At 38.3% G+C, this 21,986-nt stretch overlaps 1 annotated feature.

Annotated features, from left to right (window-relative positions):
* Nucleotides 75–275: a silencer, noted in NCBI's record as "peak7421 fragment used in MPRA reporter construct". NCBI's record gives its function as "represses an SCP1 promoter by STARR-seq MPRAs in K562 erythroleukemia cells {active_cell/tissue: K562}" and the evidence as "EXISTENCE:reporter gene assay evidence [ECO:0000049][PMID:32103011]".

Consider the following 21,986-nt stretch of genomic DNA (forward strand, 5'->3'; position numbering starts at 1 on the left):
TGGCCATTGATGAGGGAATGGTTTAATAAATTACAGTATATTTGTACATACTATGGAATACTATATGGCTCACAAATGAGATTAATCAATATGTATTGAATTGAAAATGCACATGACTTACTAAGAGTAGGAAACAAATTACAGAATACTGGGGATAGTGTGACTCAAAAATGACTCACCTAATTTATGTCTCCGGCTCAGACCTCTTCCCCAAACTTCAGACTTTCTACTCAACATTTCCTCTTGAAGTCTCAAAAGCACTGCAGATTCAATATGTCCAAAACTGAACTTAAAGCTTTCTTTCTCCAAACCTAGTTGCTTCCACTCCCTCCTTTCCTAGTGGATGGCACCATCAGACATCCATATTTGTAAAGCAGAAGCCCAGGACTCATCTTTGACATTCCCCTCTCCTTCACATCAATTTTACCACCAGCACACCTCCCCCACACTACACACATATCCAATCATTCACTAATTTCTGTTGATTTTACAACCTTAATGTACTGCCAATAGATCTACTTCTCATTATATGCATCACCATCACGTGGGGTCAAATTACCAATACCTCCCACTTGGATTGCTAAAATCTTCTAACGCAGGTTGTTTCTTCATATTCACTCTAGTCCACGGTAATTCATCCCCCATCCTGCATTCTGAAAAGAGAGAGCTGTAAATTTGGAAAGCTTTTGCCCTAATTGCTCTTGAGCAGACACAAAATAGTGCAGCAGTGTCATAATCACAGCCTAAAGAATTCAATTGCCTTTTGTTATCAAGAGTAACAATGGCTTTAGTATTTAGGAAACATTTTGAGTAAAAAATCCCCTTCCCCTTATACATTGTATCTTGTGCCACAGAGCACAGGAAATGTAACAATAAAATGAACTTTAAATTCTTCCCGAAAGTTTATCCTTGGCGTGTTGATGCCATAGGGAAATGAAAGAGTTTCTTTCTAGGGAGTTCCTCCAGCAACCATGCCATGTTATTTATCTCCCCATTTTAGCTACCACCTCATAAGTATTGCAGTAGAAAAAGATTCTGCTTGCTTTCTACTCATCTTGTGTGATTAGTTTTCTAGCCTGAAAGACCATAAGGACCCAAACTCCTCCAATTAGCCTGGACTTCTGCTGTTTTCAATTTCCAAATTCTTCCTGGTGCTCCTGACTAGGGCCCCAATACTCTTAGGCTCAGATCCTTCACCTGAATCTCCACTCACTGGTTAGAATCCTGCTACCAACAGGCAGATCTCCCAAATGCACCTACCTGCCTGCTAACTCCTGAGGACCTAATGTCATGTGTTGCCCTCTACCCTTTTAACATGTGCTAACATAATAGTGCACACTCTGGTGTTGACTGTTGGTTGAGGCCTACTGAGATAGTTATTCCTCCAAGCCAAGCCCAGCCTCAGAATTCTAGAAAGTTTGCTCAGTGACTGCTCTTCACCAGTGGGTGGGTTTTGTGCCAAATCTTGGGATTTGACAGTGGTTTCCAGATGTGAAGCACTCCTCAAGCCTCTGAAATACTGGTGAGCTCTGGGGAAGGAGACAGGAGACACCATTTCTCAATTAAGTGGATCAATCTCTATAAAGCAGTCTATTTAAAATTCAAAAAACCTCTGACTTTTTGACATAGCCAATAAAATATTAATGATAACTCAATATATACAATACTGTTTTGCATTTGTCATACAATGTTTTTACTTCTTCCAAACATTTGCATATTGTCATTTTTATTTGCACCTGCCATTTTATCAGATCTCATAAGCATCTTAGAGGATAAGTAGAATAGGTGTTAAGGTGTTAAGTGAATTATAAACTTCTTAAGAACATGGACTGCCTCTTGCATTATGTGAATCCTCTCTACTATCCAGTACAGTGATTTGGTACAGGGTGCTCAATAGGTAATAATCAATTTTATATTTTCCCACTTTATAGATTCAGAAAGCAAGTATCAGAGATGTTAAACAACACATTTAAGGTCCCACAACCAGTTAGTTATACTCCTCATTCTAGGCCCAGTGCCCATTCCATTAGACCAGTGGTTTTCGTATTGTGTTCCATGGAAATCTTGGAGGTCCATAGAGTTGTGCAGGCAGTATGAGGGGGAGGCAAAGTGGAGAGCACATAACTGCTTCAATCAGAATATCTTTACATTTATCCATTTTACATATTAAGATTTGTGTCACATTTTACCTAAATCAATGACTGTGCTACTATGTTTTTTAAGAATAATCATTTACCCATGCTAATTTGTAATGTCTTTTGTGGTGAAAAATAGTATTCGCTTGATGGATGAAATTGAAATGAAGTAGGTGAAGAGAGAAAGCGGAAAACAATAGCAGTAGAATCAGTTAAAGCTGGTAGTTATGAATAAAACTCAGGTCCCCAGATGTTTAGGTGCTTGGCAGGGCAAGCACATTGCACAACTCCTGTTGGCACCATTTACACAGAATGTAGCAATTATGCCCCAAGGATAGGGACTCAATATACCTAGGAAAGCACTCATGAAAAATGTCTCTGAATCCTGATAGATACTCAGAATATACAATACAGTTTTTTTCACACCATACACAGTTAATAAAAACTATTGTTAAGGGTTTCGGGATGATTACTACTACTATTTTGGAGTCCAACCACCTAGCAGGTTTTGTTGCCTTAGTTACTATTAGGCTTTTTAAGCTCAAAAGGGGACGAGAGAAAAGAAGTATGTTTATGAGTGGGGGCTGAACAAGAGTAAAGTATTAATACTGGTGTGTCACTGCAAAAACAAGTACAGAAGACACAAATAGGCAATTCACAAAATAAGAATGGCCAAAAAGCACGCAAAAATGCTCAATCTCACTATTAAGCAATGAAAAATACAAGTAAAACCAAGTGATATTTTGAGAAAATTAGCAAAAAAAAGTGGATAATAGCCATAATTGGTAAGATTCTGGGAAATGTACACTCTTGCACATTGCTTGTAGGAAGATAAATTGATTTTTTAAATTCTGGAGGAAAATTTAACAATAAATAGCAAAGTAGGGCCAGTTGCACTGGCTCAAATCTATAATCCCAAAACTTTGGGAAACTGAGGCAGGAGGATGGTTTGAGGCCAGGACATCAAGACAAGCCTGAGCAACATAGTAAGGCCCCATCTCCACAAAAAATTTAAAAAAAAGAGCCAGACATGGTAGCACCTACTTGAAAGGCTGAGGTGGGAGGATTACTTGAGGCTGGGAGCTAGACACTAGCCTGGGCAACATAGTGAGATCCCCACCTCAACAAAAATAAAATAAATTAGCTGAGTGTGGTGGCATGTACCTGTGGTCCCAGCTACTTGGGAAGCTAAGGCAGGAGGATCACCTGAGCCCAGGAGTTCAAGGCTGCAGTGAGCTATGATCACACCAGTCCACTGCAGCCTGGGTGACAGAGTGAGAACCCGTCTCAAAAAAAATGAGCTGGGTGAGGTAGCTGATGCCTGTAATACCAACAGTTTGGGTGGCTGAGGTGGAAGTCTCATTTGATGCCAGGAGTTCAAAGCCAGCCTTGGCAACATAGTAAGACCCCATCTCTACAAAAGTAAAATAAAATAAGTTAGCCGGGTATGGTGGCACATGCCTGTGGTCCCAGATACTCAGGAGGCTGAGGCACAAGGATCCCTTGAGCCCAGGAGTTGGAGGCTGCAGTGAACTGTGATCACACTGCTGCACTCCAGCCTAGGTGATGGAGCAAGAGCTCATCTCTTTTAAAATAAATGTAGCAAAGGTATTCACATTCTGCATTTCTTTTGACTCTAGTAATTTATCCTGTAGAAAGAATCATAAATGAGAACAAAGATGTATGCAAATGAGTCTTCACTGCAGTGTAACTTGCCATAGAAATATTGGAACCAGTTTAAAGAGAGGATTGATTAAACAAATTATTGCATATATACAGCTATTAAAAAGCATCTTATAGGAGAATATTTATTGGCATATGTTTTAGTCCATTTTGTGTTGCTTTGAAGGAATACCTGACACTGGATAATTTATAAAGAAAACAGGTTTATTTGGCTAACAGTTCTACAGGCTGTACAAGATGTGTAGAGCCAGGCTCTGCTTCTGGTGAGAGCCTCAGACTGTTTCTACTTATGATGGAAGGTAAAGGAAAGCCTGGGTGTGTGCAGCAATCACATGGTGAGAGAAGAAGCAAGACAGAGAGGAAGGAGGTGCCAGGCTCTTTTTAACAACTACCTCCCAGGAAAACTAATAGAGAACTCATTCGCCCCTGCAAGACAGCATTAATCTATTCATGAGAGATTCCCCATGACCCAACACCTCCCATTAGGCCCCACCTCCACCATTGGGATCAAATTTCAACATGAGGTTTGCGGGGACAAACATCCAAATTATAACAGCATGGAAAAAATTTTAATACACTATTTTAAAAATACATTGCGTTTAAAAGGAGGTTGCACAACGGTATATTGAGCATGAGTTTTTAAAATATGCATGCTTCTGGTAATCATTAGGACTGTTCATATCTCTCATGCTCCCCTTCAAGGGACATTATATGATTGTGTATTCCTATCCCTTCTGACATTAGGCACAGCCATATGATGTAACTGGGCAATGTATTCCTATCCCCTCTGACATTAGGCACAGTCATATAATGTAACATTCCATGTGAGTGGAATGTTTAAGGGCCAGTGCTTAATTTGCCACATGCCCCTTTTCTTGCCTTATTGATCACGGAAGCATTTGTTGAGAAAGGACTTTAGTCACACTGGGTCCTTAAGTGACTACAGTGAGCAGAGACCCCTTGCCCATGTATATTGGACAATGTAGCATGAGCAGGAAAAATAGCTTATATTGTGTGAAGCCACTGAGATGCTCATACCGTGTGTGTGTGTGTTTGCGGGGGGCAAGAGGGAGAGAAGAATGAAGAAGGAAGAGAGGGAGGAAGAGAAGGAAGAAAACTGGTTAGTTATACACGAAAGTAACAAATGGACTTGTGGGTGATTTTCATTTTCTTATTTTTTTATACATGTCATCTAAATTTTCAACATGAACATGTATAATTTTCTAAATTAATAAACATTATTTTATAGAATAGTTTTAGATTTATAGCAAAGTAAAGCAGAAAGAACCAAGAAATCCCGCGCAGCCCTTGCCTTCGCACACAAACCTCCCCTACCAACAACATCCTCCACCAGAAAGGTATACTTGTTAAAATCAATTAAACTATATTGACACATCAATATTAGCCAAAGTCCATGGTTTACATTAAGGTTCACTCTTGTTGTTGTACATTCTATGGGTTTGGACCAATATATACTGACATGTGCCCACCATTAAAGTATCATTAGAATAGTTTCACTGCTCTAAAAACACCTCTGTGCTCTGCCTATTCATCCCTCCCCAACCCCCACCAATCTCTGGAAACCATTCATCTTTGGTCTACAGTTTTTCCTTTTCCAGAATTGGGTTGGAATTATGCAGGATGTAGCACTTTCAGATTGGCTTCTTTCACTAAGTGGAAAGATATGCATGTAACTTTCCTTCATGTCTTTTCATGTATTAGTAGATCATCTCCTTTTAGTGCTGAACAATATTCCATTGTTCGAATGTACCACAGTTTATCCATTCATCTGCAGAAAGACACTTTGATTGCTTCCAAACATTGGCAATTAAGATTGTCAATAACATCTGTGCAGATGATTTTGTGTTTTTGTGTAAGTTTCTAATTCATCTGGGTAAGGAGTGCGATTGCTGGGTCATATGGTTAAAGTATGATTAGTTTTGTAAGAAACTGCCAAACTGTCTTCGAAAGTGGCAGTACCATTTTCCATTTTTACCAGCAATGACAGAGAGTTCCTGTTGCTCCACATCCTTGTCAGCATTTGATATTGTCAGTGTTTGGTTTGGGGCCATTCTAATAGATGTTTAGTGGTTCCTCATTCTTGTTTTAATTTGCAACTCCTTAATGACATATGTTGAAAATTTTTTCATATGCTTACTTGCCAATTGTATATCTTCTTTGGTAAAGTGTCTGTTTAGGTCTTTTAATTATGCACTTTATGATTCCATTTTCTCTCCTTTCTTAGCATATCAATTATACTTCTTTTTTTTTTACTTATTTTAGTGGTTGTCTTAGAGTTAACAATATATATTTACAACTAATCCAAGTTTACTTTCAAATAGCACTATACTGTTCCACAGGTGGTAGAAGTATCTTATAATAAAAAAATTCCTAACTCCCCCTCCCATCTATTGTATCATTGCTATCATTCATTTGGCTTATACATAAGCATATATATGATATACACATATATATTCATATATATACATAAGCATACATAATTGAATGCATTGTTGTCATTATTATTTTGAATAAACTGTTATCTACTGGAACAATTAAGAATAAGAAAAACAAAAATTTTTATTTTACTTTCATTTATTTATTGGTTTATGCTCTTCCTTTCTTTATGTAGATCCAAGTCTCTGATCCATATCATTTTCTTCTCTCTAAAGAATTTCTTTCAACATTTCTTTCAAGGCAGATCTACTGGCAATGAATTCTCTCAATTTTTGCTTGTCAGACAAAGTCTTTATTTCTCTTTCACTTTTGAAGCATAATTTCACAGTGTCCAGAATTCTAGGTTGGTGGGTTTTTTCTGTCAATACTTTATTTTATTTTATTTTTATTTCCACAGGTTATAGGAGAACAAGTGGTGTTTGGTTACATGAGTAAGGTCTTTAGTGGTGATTTGTGAGATTTTGGTGCACCCATCACCCGAGCAGTATACACTGCACCCAGTGTGTAGTCTTTTATCCCTCACCCTCTTCCCACCCTTTCTCCCTGAGTCCCCAAAGTCTGTTATGTCATTTTTATGCCTTTGCCTCCTCATAGCTTAGCTCCCACATATCAGTGAGAACACATGATGTTTGGTTTTCCATTCCTGAGTTACTTTACTTAGAATAATAGTCTCCAATCTCATCCAGGTCCCTGAAAATGTCATTAATTCATTCCTTTTTATGGCTAAGTAGTACTTCATCATATATATATATACACACACACACACACACACATATCACAGTTTCATATATATATCTATAGATATAGATATATATCACAGTTTCTTTATCCACTCGTTAATTGATGGATATTTGGGTTGGTCCCACGTTTTTGCAATTGTGAATTGTGCTGTTATAAACATGTGTGTGCAAGTATCTTTTTGTATAATGACTTATTTTCCTCTGGGTAGATACCCAGTAGTGGGACTGCTGGATCAAATGGTAGTTCTACTTTTAGCTATTTAAAGAATCTCCACACTGTTTTTCATAGTGGTTGTACTAGTTTACATTCCCACCAGCAGGTAGAAATATTCCCTGCTCACCACATCCATGCCAACATCTACTATTTTTTTATTTTTTAATTATGGCAATTCTTGCAGGAGTAAGGTGGTATTGCATTGTGGTTTTGATTTGCATTTCCCTGATCATTAGTGATATTGAACATTTTTTCATATAGTTGTTGGCCATTTGTATGCTTTCTTTTTGGAATTGCCTATTCATGTCCTTAGCCCACTTTTTGATGGGATTGTTTGTTTTTTTCTTGTTGATTTGTTTGAATTCATTGTAGATTCTGGATATTAGTCTTTTGTCAGATATATAGATTGTGAAGATTTTTTTCCCACTCTGTGGGTTGTCTCTTTGCTCTGCTGACTGTTCTTTTGCTATACAAAAGCTCTTTAGTTTAATTAAGTACCAGCAATTTGTCTTTATTTTTATTGCATTTGCTTTTGGGTTCTTGGTCATGAAATCATTGCCTAAGCCAGTATCTAGAAGGGTTTTTCCAATGTTAGCTTCTAGAGCTTTTATAGTTTCAGGTCTTAGATTTAAGTCCTTATCCATCATGAGTTGATTTTTGTATAAGGTGAGAGGTGAGGACACAGTTTCATTCTCCTACATGTGGCTAGCCAATTATCCCAGCACCATTTGTTGAAAAGGGTGTCCTTTCCCCACTTTGTCTTTTTGTTTGCTTTGTCGATGATCAGCTGGCTGTAAATATTTGGGTTTATTTCTGGATTCTCTATTCTGTTCCATTGGTCTATGTGCCTATTTTTATACCAGTACCATGCTGTTTTGGTGACTATGGTCTTATAGCATACTTTGAAATCAGGTAATGTGATGCCTCCAGATTTGTTCTTTTTGCTTAGTCTTGCTTTGGCTATGCAGGCTCTTTTTTGGTTCCATGTGAATTTTATAATTGTTTTTTTCTAATTCTGTGAGGAATGATCGTGGTATTTTGATGGGGATGGCACAGAATTTGTAGATTGCTTTTGGAAGTATGGTTATTTTCACAATAATGATTTTACCATCCATGAGCATGGGATGTGTTTCTGTTTGTTTGTGTCATATATGATTCTTTCAGCAGTGTTTTGTAGTTTTCTTTGTAGAGGTCTTTCACCTCCTTGGTTAGGTATATTCCTAAGTATTTTATTTATTTTTTTGCAGCTATTGAAAAAGTGAGTGAGTTCTTGATTTCATTCTCAGCTTGGTCACTGTTGGTGTATAGAACAGCCACTGATTTGTGTACATTAATTTTGTATCTGAAAACTTTGCTGAATTCTTTTATCAGTTCTAGGAACTTTCTGGAGGAGTCTTTAGGGTTTTCGAGATAAATGACCATATCATCAGCAAACAGCGACAGTTTGACTTCCTCTTTACCAGTTTGTATGCCCTTTATTTCTTCCTCTTGTCTGCTTGTCTTATTCCAGTTCTCAGAGGAAATGTTTTCAACTTTTCCCTATTCAGTATTATGTTGGCTGTGGGGTGAGTGAGATTGAAATGCTAATTTAAAAATTACCAACAAAAAGAGTCCAGGACCAGATGGATCCACAGCAGAATTCTACCAGACATTTAAAGAATTGGTACCAATCCTACTGATACTATTCCACAAGATAGAGAAAGAGGGAACCCTCCCTAAATCCTTCTATGAATCCAGTATAACCCTAATACCAAAGTCAGGAAAGGACATAACCAAAGAAGAAAACTACAGACCAATGATCCTCATGAACATAGATGCTAAAATCCTCAACAAAATACTAGCTAACCAAATCCAACAACATATCAAAAAGATAAACCACCATGATCAAGTAGGTTTCACACCAAGGCTGCAGGGATGGCTTAACATATGCAAGTCAATAAATGTGATACACCACATAAACAGAATTAAAAACAAAAATTACATGATCATCTCAATAGATGCAGAAAAGCATTTGACAAAATCCAGTATCTCTTTATGATTAAAACTCTCAGCAAAATTGGCATACAAGGACATATCTCAATATAATCTCAACACTTTAAATATTTTATTCCACTCTCTCTTGCTTCCCTGGTTTCAGAAAAGTTGGATGTAGTTCTTACCTGTGATCCTTTATCAGTAAGGTTGTTTTTCTTCTGGCTTCCCTCAAGATTTTTTCTTTATCTTTGATTTTATGAAGTTTGAATGATATGCCTAGGTATAGTTATTTTGGCATTTATCTTTTCTGGTATCCTCTGAGCTTCCTGGATCTTTGTTTTGGTGTCTGACACTAATTTCTGGGAAATTCTCAGTCATTCTTGCTTCAAATATTGTTCAAGTTTCTTTCTCTCTTTTCCTCGCATTCCCTTATATATATGTCACACATTTGGTAGTTGTCCCACAGCTCTTGTATATTCTGTTATTTTTTTCAGTCTTTTTTATCTTTGCTTTTCAATTTTGGAGGTTTCTATTGTCATAGCCTCAAACTCAGAGATTCTTTCATTAATAATGTCCGTCTACTTATGAGCTGATCACAGGCGTTCTTCATGTCTGTTATAGTACTTTTTAGCTTTAGCATTTCTTTTTCATTCTTTAATTTTCATCTCTCTGCTTACACTGCCCTCTGTTCTTGCATGTTCTCTACTTTTTCTACTAAAGCCCTTAGCATATGAATCATAGTTTGTTTATTTTTTTTAATTCTTGGTCTGATAGTCCAACATTCCTTCCATATCTGAATCTGGTTCTGATACTTGCTAAGCCTCTTCAAATGTGTTTTTGTTTTTGTTTTGTTTTGTTGTTGTTGTTTTTCTGCCTTTTAGTATGCCTTGTAATTTTTTGTTGAAAGGTATACATGATGAACTGGGTGAAAGGAACTACAGTAAATAGGCCTTCGGTTAGGTCTCGGTTTTTTCATGAGCCTATGCTCCTGGATGGTGAATTTCATCAGTGCTTCTCAGATTTTTACCCCCTTAGTGGGGACAAGATGGCTAGAGGGAGCCAAAGCTGGGTATTTCCTTTCCCCAAAACAGTCAAGCTCTGATGAAACCCCAAAAGGTTAAGCTCTGGCAAAATAGTTTGGCTTGAGGGAAAACCTTGTTAGGAAGCACAGAGTCCTCTGGTGTATTTCAAAATGATTCCTTTTCTCCTTTCCCTGCCAGAGGCAAAAGGGGATTTTTCTCCAAAATTCACCGTGAGGGCCTGATAGAATTTCTGGAGGTAAAACCTAAAAAAGTGTGGGGAACTCCTATGAGTAAGTCTCCTGGAGTTTTTAACTCTCAGACTTACCCACACTGAGTCTCCAGAAATTTGCCAATTATCAGTTCAGGTTTTCCTACCCTGTTATTGGTTCCCATAAAGGTTTCTGCTCATGGGCTTCTATAGGTTGTGATTCTCTATACCCACCTGTCTGTCTCTCCAGTTATTGGGGCAGTGGTTTTCCTTGTGACCTCACTTCTCTAATAGATCTAATAAGAGTTGTTGACTTCTCAGTTTCTTCAGGTTTTTACTTGTTAAGCTATAACAGCAATGGCAACTTCTAAGCTCCTTACTTGTCAGACCAGAAACCAGAAGTACCTACTGCAGTATTTATATTAAGAAAGAAAACAATGTTTTTAAAATGTGTATAAAATTACCTCTTCCTTTTCTTATCTACTCTGTCCTTTCAAAAGATTCTATATAATTTTCCTGAGCCCTTAAGAGGAGATTATGGCAGTGTAACCCTGGGTAAATCACTTAGTCTCTCTTGGTTTTCCTTCTACCTCAATGACTTCTACTTTTCAATTTCCTTTGCAGACTTCTCTTCATCTCCCCCAGTGTCTCAAAGTTCATGTGCTTTAGAACTTAGCACTAAACCCGCTCCTCTGTTCACCCTAACCTTTTTCACTAAGTGAGCTCATCCATTTCTCTGGTTTTGAATGCCATTTCTACACTGCTGACTTCCAAATATGTATCTCTGGCCCAGATCTTTCATCTGGGCTGCAGAGTCTCCTATGCAATTACTCACTTGACCGTTCCACTTGAATATCTCACAACTATCTCAAACTTAAAATATCTAAACAGAACTCTTGGATCAACACTCCCACTTCTGTCAAAGCCTATTCCTTGCCCAGAACTTCCCATCTCAGTTAAAAGAAAGTGGATGGTAAGGAGGAGGAAGAGGAGGAGACTACCATCTACCTAGTTTCTCAAGCCAAAAGCCCTGAAAATGTCTTTGCTTCTTCCCTTTTCTTCCTGCCCCACCTCTGAGCCATTAGACATGTCAGTTCTACCTATAAAATATTTCTCTCCACTTCTCTCCACATACATTTTTCTATCTCCCTATTCCAAGCCCCCACCATCTGTTGCCTGAACCATTGCCACAATCTCCTAATTGGTCTCCAAATTCTACTCTTGCTAACTTTCTAATTCATTTTCAATATAGCAGCAAGAATAATCCTAAGATATAGGTCATGACCCTTAGCTATTTAAAGCCCTTCAGTGGTTTCCCACTGCACTTTGAAGAAATCTTAAGTCTATGCCACACTTTACAAGGTCCTAATTGTTCTAGTCTCTGCCTTGCTCCCAAATCTCATTTCATGTAGCTCTCCCATTACTTGCTACATTTAGTCACACTGGTCCTCTTTCAGGTCCTCAAAGATGCCAACCTCTTTCAATCTCAATTATTTTGCATAGGCTCTTCCCTCTGCCTGAAATGTCCTATCTCTCAAGCTTCATTTGACTGAATCCATCTCATCCTTCCTGTCTCAGTTAATACATCATTTCATCAAAAGAGCCTTTCCTGAGTGCCCTATCAAAGGCAGAAAATATTGACTTCTCCTATAGCAGGTACCCTTCATCCACCTTACTATTTTCTAGGACAATGATAATATTGTTCAAGGATATGGCTGTCATGTGGCCAGGGGGGGTTGGCCCCTTCCCAGTTCTAGCTGGTAAATCGCAATTTGTCTCCAGCAATCATGATCGTATCATGCACTTTTGTCAATGACTAGTTTAGGGATAGGCATGTGACGCAGATCTGACAAATTTGACACAAAGTGAAGTCCACTTGGGACCTTTTTGGAAAGGCCTTTCTTGATGAGAAAAAAAAGAAAGAGACACAGAAAATTAAACACCAATTTCCCTTGACTAGCTGTTATGTGTCTACATGTGATGCTTACAATTTTGGAAGACATTTTACAACCATGAATAAAGCATTACTCATACACTAAGGATGGTAGAATAGAAAGATGAAATGTGCCTGGGTCCCTCATAAAACTTATATTGTATATCTGAATTAACCCTGGGTTCCTTACCTCCAGACTTCTCATTCAGTGTGTAATAAATCCCTTATAATTTGACCTAATTTTGGTTTGGCTTTCTGTTACTGGCACTCAAAAGTTGGTCCTCACTTTCTTTTCTCTATGGAAACATCCTATTGGTTTTCTTTTAAACAAATCAAAATGGGTTGTTACTATATTTGTTAGTTGTTTGGTTTTTTGTCTATTTAACTTTCATGAGAGCAGGGTCTGTGTCTATCTTGTTCACCAGTATCTAGAACAGTATCTGGCACGTAGTAGGCACTCAAGAAATATTTGTTAATGAATGACCAAATGTCACATCCACAGGGAGAATCAACTAGTTGGTTTAGATGGTGACTAGTAGGATATCAAATATATACAAACACTAATAAATAAATTATGTGTCCTTTAAAGCTGATTTCCCAAAGAATCCTGATCCTGATTTTTACATTTTAGTTTCAAAGGGATGTAGATGGGGAAGATATTAAAACAGAGGGCTGAGAATTTTAGTTCTAAGAGTGCTTGCCCATTCACCAGGCAATCTATGTTTCATCATCCCAAAAAGACAAAGGGCAATTCTACTCTCGAAGGAAGACAATCATTTCTAGATCTCTACCACTCTAAAGTGAGTTCATGTTCCTGCCTGAAGCAGATCAGACACAAACCTGGATTATTTACTTTTTTACTTTTTTTATCAACTTTAACTGTTATAAAAAGCATTCTATTGGCTTTTCATAAATTCAAGTAAATCTAAAATTATGCCACAATCCCATAGAGCATGTCATCTAGATGGCAGCAGAAATCATGTTGAGGGTATTATAGCTTATCCAACTTTGAAAGCCCTGACCAAGACAGGACCTATGTGGTATAAGTCAGGTCATACTGTGAGGTTGTGTCTTCCAACCAGAAAAACACCCTGTTGCCATGGTGCCTGAATTCCCACCTTTATCACTGTTTCACTGGATTAACACAGTTATGTCTTCAGAAGTCCCTTATTTAAATGTGAATATACTTCCTAGAGAAGCTAATACGTTAAATTTTTAGCATTCATTTTTCAACAGAAGGCAAAGTCTCGAAGGAATCAAATATTATAAAGAACAGCTAAGCTTTAATGGATACGAGCAAAGAAAGAAAATTCTGGACATGGGAGGGAACATGGGCACTGGGAAGCTAGAGAAAGAAAGACGGTAAACAAGATGAGGAAGATACCAAAATGGAAATTTAGTGAGGATTCAGAAATCACCAATTTACCCCTGGGTCCCATATGGCCTTGTTGCTACCTAATTACTCACTTCTGACAAAAACTAGGGTATAAAACATCATTTAGTGTCATATCTGTCTCTTCGTCTGTGAAATGGAGACTAGAGAAAAACAGAATAAGAGTAGGTGATCCTAGCTATATAAATAGAAAGACAGATAAGGAAAATGACTAATGGAGCAAACAGATTAGAAAAGTACACGTTTCAGAGGTCTTTTCTCAGTAGGGCTCGTCTTGGAAACTAACCTAGGTTAGGGTATAATTGACTGAGGTGACTAAACTTCCTAGATGATACATTCTGCCTCATGTCCTGGCTTAATTATTAACAGTGCCTCCTTTCACTCTCAAAGTGTCCCAGATTGGATCATAAATGATATGGTCACCCTTATGAATGACTGGTGATCTTTCATAAGGGTGGCCATATAAAAGATCAGAGGTGTGCTCAGTTAGTAATTCCCTTCAGTACTCAAGATCTGGAGTGGCCTGATTCCAAACTTATTAACTCCAGTTATGAGGAGCTGCCTGTGTGCCATGATGTAGAAATAATGGGAAGTATGCATCACATGTAGGCAGCATCACCATTTTAACAGAGTGCTTCCCAAAGGAGTGGGTGAAAATAGGAATTTCAGAAAGCACAATGAGGCTACTAGTGAAGATACAAAAAAGGTGAAATGGAAGCATTAGAAGCCCCTCAAAGGAAGCACTCACTCACTGCTCCTACACATAGGGCTAGCCCTGATCTGTGTATTCAAGCAGCTGTCAAGTCCTCCATTCCTACCCAAAAAGAGAAAATAGTGTTTGCTTTAGACAGTATCACTCAGTCACAGGCTGGGCTGACATTCATAGATGAGTCTCGCCAGTTATTTAGCCTTCACCTTGTTAGAAACAGATCAGGCCTCATACAATGTTTAGTCCAGAACAGAAACTACAACAACCAAAAACAATTAATAGCCCATGCACAGAGAAAATACAATATGAACAAAACTGCTGTACTAATGTGTTAAAAAATAAAAAAGATTCATTTGATTATAAACATTGGACTCTAGTTCTCATCTTACAGCACCAGAGAGGAAATTGTTCTCAAATTGATAACCTGTGTTTTTCCTTCCGAAAGTTCATGTTCCCATTCAAATTGCACTAAATCTTTAGAGACTTTGCCTTCTGAGCCTCAAACCTATTTCCACACCTAATTCTCATATCTTGGTAAATACTTGTAATGTATCTAGGAAATCAAAGACATAACTTCTTTTTCAATATATGCAAAGACATCCATCTCCTGTGGTTGAGGGGATGAGTTAAATGGTACAAAGAAATCAGAGGAAAGTGGATGGGGGCTTTGGTGCAGCTCCTTGCCCCTCTGGTACTGTTTTTATTTCCCTGTAACAACACCAATGTGTAAGGGAAATAAACTAAGAATCTGGCCTCTTGGCTGCTCCCAGAACAAGCCTGTGTTATTTTAATGTACACTGAGGAGCAGATGGGAAAAGAAAAATACAAAAGAGCATCAAAGCCCTCCCACCAACGCTTGCCTCTAAAGTCTTAAGCAAGAGCCCCAGCCTCTGCTATTCTATCTTCCGCTGTGTGCATAGCGAGCAGGTAATCAGCAAAGCTAATCAAAAATGCATTCATTACCACAGAGCGGCAGTGGGTGAAAGCGACTGCAGCTTTCTTCCGGCAAGTGGTTTCTGGACTGGCACAATCCAATCTCCTTGGCTCTTTGGCAAGCCTTTTGCCTCCCCCTGCCCTCCCCCTCCCCCACCCATCCTAGCGGTCTCTGCCATGCCCAACTCTGCTTCTCCATTAAGGGCAATCTAATTCTTACAGTTGACAATTTTTCCTCCTCAATCACTACGACGTTGCTCTATGAAAGCTGTTTTCTGCCTAATAAGTCTTCTGGGTATTTTTATACACCTTTAAAGGTGTTTCTTCACTTGAAAAATATATTTTTCCTTTGTTTTCAAAATAAGAAGCCATTTCTTGTCAAGGCTAAACAAACTCAAATGCTGACAGCTTCTGCAAATGCAAATGCCTTTCCTGCTTCCTCCAACTTAGCAAAATGGACTCTCTCAGAGCCCCCAGAACCAAAAGAAGCTCAGAGAAACCTGTGCTAAAATATGCTTATGGGCCTGGAGCTAGTAACAATAAGAGCTAATATTACTGAGCATTTGTTACATGCCAGGCATAATTCGATGTACTTTAATTATCTCATTCAATCCTCACAGCATCCTTATGAAGGATCTGTTACTTATTATCATCCCCATTGTACAGATGAAAATAGTGAGACCCAAGGAGGTCGAATCAGTCTAACACTAGTTGTGAATGGGGTATTTTGAACTCAGGCTGAGTGGCCCTTCCTTTAAACCACCTACCATGGTTCTGATGGAAAAAGACAAGTATACCACTATACACACTGCCTTGTCCTCTCTCAGACAGTAAAGTTAACCCTTCCAGGGCATGAGATTGCCATTCAGTAAGTAACTATTTTCTCGGAGAAGTGAACAGTACTCCCTCCATCCCTTGAAAAAGTAAATTATCTTTAGCTAAGCTAGAGAGAGAAACTTTTAAAAACAAAACAAAATTTTCTTTCAAGTGTTTGTTTTTCCCAATCAGTCTACAATGGTAGTTGAGTGGCCACTGAGCTTGTATGGCATAGAGGCAGCTATCCATTCTCTGCCTTTTGGGAGCACACATACTAGTTGGGATTTCAGAACAGAACACACACACACACACACACACACATACACACACACACATACACACACACAGAGAGAGAGAGAGAGAGAGAGAGAGAGAGAGAAAGAGATAATGACGTGGAGGCAGGGTGACAGAGAGGCTTCCTGGACTTGATTTCACATCTACCACTTAGAGCTATGTAACCTTGGGCAAGCCATTCAATCTCTCCGCGTGACTCATTTCCTCAGCTGTAAAATTGAAGTAATAATACTACTTACCTCATAGGGGGCTATTAGGATTAGATAATCTAATATATAAAAGTACTTAGCACATGCCTGGCACATAGAAAGTACTTGATAAATAATAACTCACACTACAATTTCTTCCCCCTGGCATGAAATTTATAGCTTATGTTGTACATCCAAGGTTTCAGTGAAGACGTGATCGGTGGTAATTTGGAGCAAAGATGGCAATACCTATGTATGTTTTATTAACACTTCAACTTTGTCCCAAATAAAACTGGGAAATTTCTGATCCTACATCAGAAGTATACTATGAAGGAATAATAGACACTGGGGTCTACTAGAGAGGGGAGATAGGGAGGGGGACAAGAGATGAAAAAATACCTATTGGGTCGTATGCTCACTACTTGGGTGACAGGATCATTTCTACCCCAAACTTCAGCATCATGCAATATAGCCATGTAACAAACTGCACATGTACTCCCTGAATCCAAAATGAAAGCTGCAATTATAAAAAAGGAAGTACCATGAAAAGATACTAGATTGGAATACTGGGGATTTCAGAAAACTAGATATTTTCCATTTAAGCTCTGGTATCAGAGAAGGTTTGAAAAATAAACATCTCAAAACCACAACTCTTTATTCAAAAGCATCTACTCTCTAAATTCTAGGGGACTATGTTTTATTTTTAGTACAACATGAAGGAAACTACAAAAATGACAAAATAGCCCACTTTTTAACTTCAAAAAATGATTTGCTTCAGGGTTTCTTTAAGTGGCAAGCCCCTGTCCTGGATTTAAAATAGGATTCAATTTATCTAAATTCATTTTCCACTTAAATTTTGAGAGGTATGCCCATTGCATAAAGCAAGGTTTGCCCATATTATAAGGTATAGAAGCAAATTGCTGACTTCCATTTCCATTTTCTCAGCATTTGCAACCCAACCTCTTATCATGTTGTGGCCAGCTACAGACATAGTCAGCCAATTTCCACAATCTTGAGAAACAGAAAATGTTATACTAACTCAGACCTTCAATTCTTCTCAACTGTCATCTGTCCCTTAATAGTAACACAAGGACTGCTTTCCACCAAGTACCTTGTAGAATATACGAATCACTTTTATCAAACAAAATACTGAAAAGAAGAGGGAAAGGATGAGTAAGTTTTATAAGTGATGCGGCAATAAGAGAAAAGTTATTCTTTCCTTGTCCCTTTCCAGATCCACCCTCCACTATTCTCCACCACCTCTGCACCTCAAGAGGCACTATCCTAAGTATAACGTATGGTCACTGCTATCTAAGAGTTTGCCAAATCTAATCTCCCAGACAGAAGGGCATTTGGGTCTGTTCTTTTTCAGTTCATCCATGCAATCAGAAACTTTTTCTCCCTTGTATTCCTCCTAATGTATGTACCATTATGTTAAGCATCATTAGATCTTGCTTTTGACTTAATTCATGTATTCACTCATTTGAAAAAGAAATATTTAGCATCCATTAAATTCAGTGCATTGTTGTAGGTGCTAGGATTACAGCAGTAAACAGAACAGACCAAAAAAAAAAAATCCCTCCCCTCATGGAGCTCGCAAAATCTTAAACAGATAAACAAAGTTAGCAAAATATCTAGTTAGAGTTAACATATAAAGTTACAGTGTATTCCAATACCAAATTAGTTGGTTCCCTCAAGTTTCATCCTCTTTAGAAAGACAGTAAAAGGTTTATAATTTTTTAATGGGTTAGTTTGGAAATGTAAACATTCCATTCATTCACATATTTTTTCACCACGCTGCTCCTGATTCCAAGAAGAATTTGAGGTCACTCAAAGTAAAGGACACATAAATGTATTGCTTTAATTTACTACCCAGAAATCTAACTAGAGCAAAAGTCAAGTAATGTGTTGGAGGAGAAGTGTAAGGTTCAATAGTCAAGATCTCTATGGCTTTCTACTTGGGTAATTTGTCTGCAATTATTGGAAACTTCCACAAGGTGGTGGTAATGATGCCTTAGTTTATAACCATATCAAGAGGGCAAGCTGGTATCACAGGTATAATTTACTTGAAATAAAGACACAGGGTACTTCTCTAACCATAAAATTTTGTTTCTCAAAATCCTTTGGCAGTATTCATGATTAAAGAGCTTAGGGTGTTTTCTTGAAACTCCATACAAAAATTTAGATCTTTAGTGAGCCTACAAAAGCCTTGATTGATTGATTGATTGATTGATTGATTGATTTAAGACAGAGTCTCACAATGTTGCCCAGGCTGGAGTGCAATGCCGCGATCATGGTTCACTGCAGCCTCGACCTCTCCAGTCTCAGGTGATCCTCCCACCTCAGCCTCCTGAGTAGCTGGGACTACAGGCATGTGCCACCACACCCAGATAGCTTTTGTATTTTTTGTAGAGAAGGGGTTTCGCCATGTTGCCAAGGCTGGTCTCGAACTCCTGGGCTCAAGCAATCCACCCTCTTCAGCCTCCCAAAGTGCTAGGATGTGAGCCACTGCACCCGGCCAGCCCTCATTTATTAATTCATTCAGCACGCTTTTATTGAGAAGCCTCTGGGTACTAAGCATTGTACAAAGCATTTAAAAATAAATTTTGTGTTCACAAAAAAATACAATAAGGGAAGCATCCTATAATAAAAGGAAAAATCAATGACACTTTTCACATTCTAACTTGTTAATAATAGGAACTGCGCAATTTCTTTCCATTTAACATCTCTTGTGTAATAGATGCTTTTCAGCGTCTCTTTCCTTTAAGGTTCATAGGAAATGCTTCTAATTTTGGTTTGAATGGAATATGGGGATACTAATAGTACTTATCTCAAAGAGTTGTTGTAAGAGTTCAATGAAACAATACATTTAAACCATTTAGTAGAATACCTAGCATGAAGTAAGAAATAAATGTTAGCCATCATCATCACTGTCATCATCATGATCATCATTGCCTTCATTATCGTTGTTATCTTCCTCCTCCTCATCATCATCATTGTTATCATCACCATCAACAGGAAAAAGTACCAAGTTAATCTGTATGTACCAGAAATTTGAGTAAAGGAAATTCAAAATTGGGAAAGAGTCACTGCTTTCCCGTTATTATCAAAATGTGATAATGTTCTAAGCTCTTAAACACTACATTAAGAGGGAGGAAATGTTTGTTTTTGCTTTGTTTTGTTCTCTTCTGTTTTGTTTTGTTTTGTTTTGTTTTGTTTTGTTTTGTTTCTAAAGGCATTGCCTCACAAAGAGTTTCCCAGTGTGGTGCCTTTGTATATGGAACAATCTTCCCCCAAGGGAGCTCAATTTGAGTTTAGATAGCAGGGCAGGTAGGATCTATAAGACCACTCTTTGGCTGATTTCCTGCCAAGATACAGTGATTGTCTCTTGTTCTGCAACATGTAACTTCTCTTGGGACTGGGGTAACCCACTGAGGGAGGCTGGGTGAAGCAGTGAGGAACTGTTTGTACCTCCCTAGAGGAAGCCACCTCATTTCCTGTGGACCCTGCAGGGTCCTTAGTGAATGAGCTTCCTCCCTGGGGCCTGGAGTCAAGGGCCCAGGTAACTGAAGAGGGAGGTGCTCCAGACTGGCCCATTCTTCTCTATAGTAGGCACTGCCCTCAGTGTGACCTGTGCAGTCATACAGGGCTCCATGCTAGAAGGGCTCATGCTTGGATTAATGCACTGCCATTTCTGTCTTGAAATTCTTAAAAATGTTTCAAGAAGGTGCCTAGCACTTTCATTTTTGCTCTAAGCCCTGCAAATTATGTAGCCAGTCCTGTCTGCCCTGAAGAGTTTCCAAACACTGTATAGGCCTTGTTCTTACTTTCCCTCCTTCCTGCTGCTACTTAGAGTCCATTTCACTCTCTCACCCTTGAGTCCAACTAAGTGTTGGTAGCTCAGCAGAAACCAGCTTTCTGCCCAACCCTGAGCTCTGATGATCACTGTAGAGATAGTTTCATAACTGCTGCTTCCTCTCAGTTAGTATTTTCTCTAAAATAAAAAAGAACATTAACAATAATACAAGGATAATATTACTTGAAGCACTGATAACTAGTAACAGGAACTGTAGGTAACTTGCGGGGAATTAATGAAAAAAAAAAGGCAGCATAGGAAGTCAGACAGCCTTGGCTTTTGCATTGGATTTGGGGAAGTGACAGATATTCTGCCCTGCTGCAATTTCTTCGGTTGTAGAATGTCGAGAAAAGTAAAAGCAGTCGAAGTACTCTTAGAAAGTTCACATTTCCTGGTAATTCTATGATTTGAGCTAATCAACTTTACCAGCCTGAATACCACAATATTAAGTGTATTGTAACAATGATCTTTCCCTCTCCCCTTATCCCCCTCCTCCCTCACTCCCCTCCTCCCTCATCCCTCTCCTTTTCTCTCTAATGCTTTATTTGGAGATATAAATAAGATGTATCCCCAATTCACAGATCAAATCACTGAGTCTCAGAGAGTGTAAATGATAGCCTGATGTCACATTCCTAGTAATTTTGGCAGAATTATGATTAGAATCCAAGTTTTCAGATTCCTAGTTCAATACTCACATTTCTGAAAAGGTGTGTATATACCTATTTGGTTTTTCTAAAACTCCTATTCTGAATACATAAGAGTTGGGTTCCTCAACAGTGGCACTATTGACATTTGGGGCTGCCTTGTGCATTATAAGGAGTTGAGCAGCATCTCTGGCCTCTACCCACTAAATTCCTGTAGCACCACCCTACACTGCCAGGAATGATGATCAAAATGTCTCCCAAACATTGCCACTTGTCCTCCAGGGGGCAAAATCACATCTGACTGATAACCATTGCACAAGAGCAGTTCACTACTTAAAGGAAAACTTAGGCAAATCTTTTAGTAAACTACAAAACTCCTTCCAAATTTCTAGTTCCACATATTGGACTTTTTAAAACTAGGGCATACCTGTATTTTCAAAGGATAAAACTACTAATTTTAATTTTGTGGGTAATTGCCCAGAAAAATGTGGAGTGGTTAATATGCTTTTCTTTTTCCTCAAAATATTATGTTCATGAAATTGATGTCACAAAGACTCAACGGAATATGCCCACAGCACACATATTATAACAGATTAAACTTTAGGAAAACCAGCAATTGCAATTCCTCTTTAAGAATTAGCCACAGGCAAGTATCTTCAAATTCAAATGTTTCCAGTTATCTTTTTATTCCCCTAAATACTCTGAATTTTCTTTCAAAGCAGGAAACCCAAAACTCCCTACCTCTAAAGGAGTGTTAAAAATACCTTATTCCTCAAGATGGCTAAAC

Source organism: Homo sapiens, chromosome X (assembly GCF_000001405.40).
Source record: "Homo sapiens chromosome X, GRCh38.p14 Primary Assembly".
NCBI classification, from domain to species: Eukaryota; Metazoa; Chordata; class Mammalia; order Primates; family Hominidae; genus Homo; species Homo sapiens.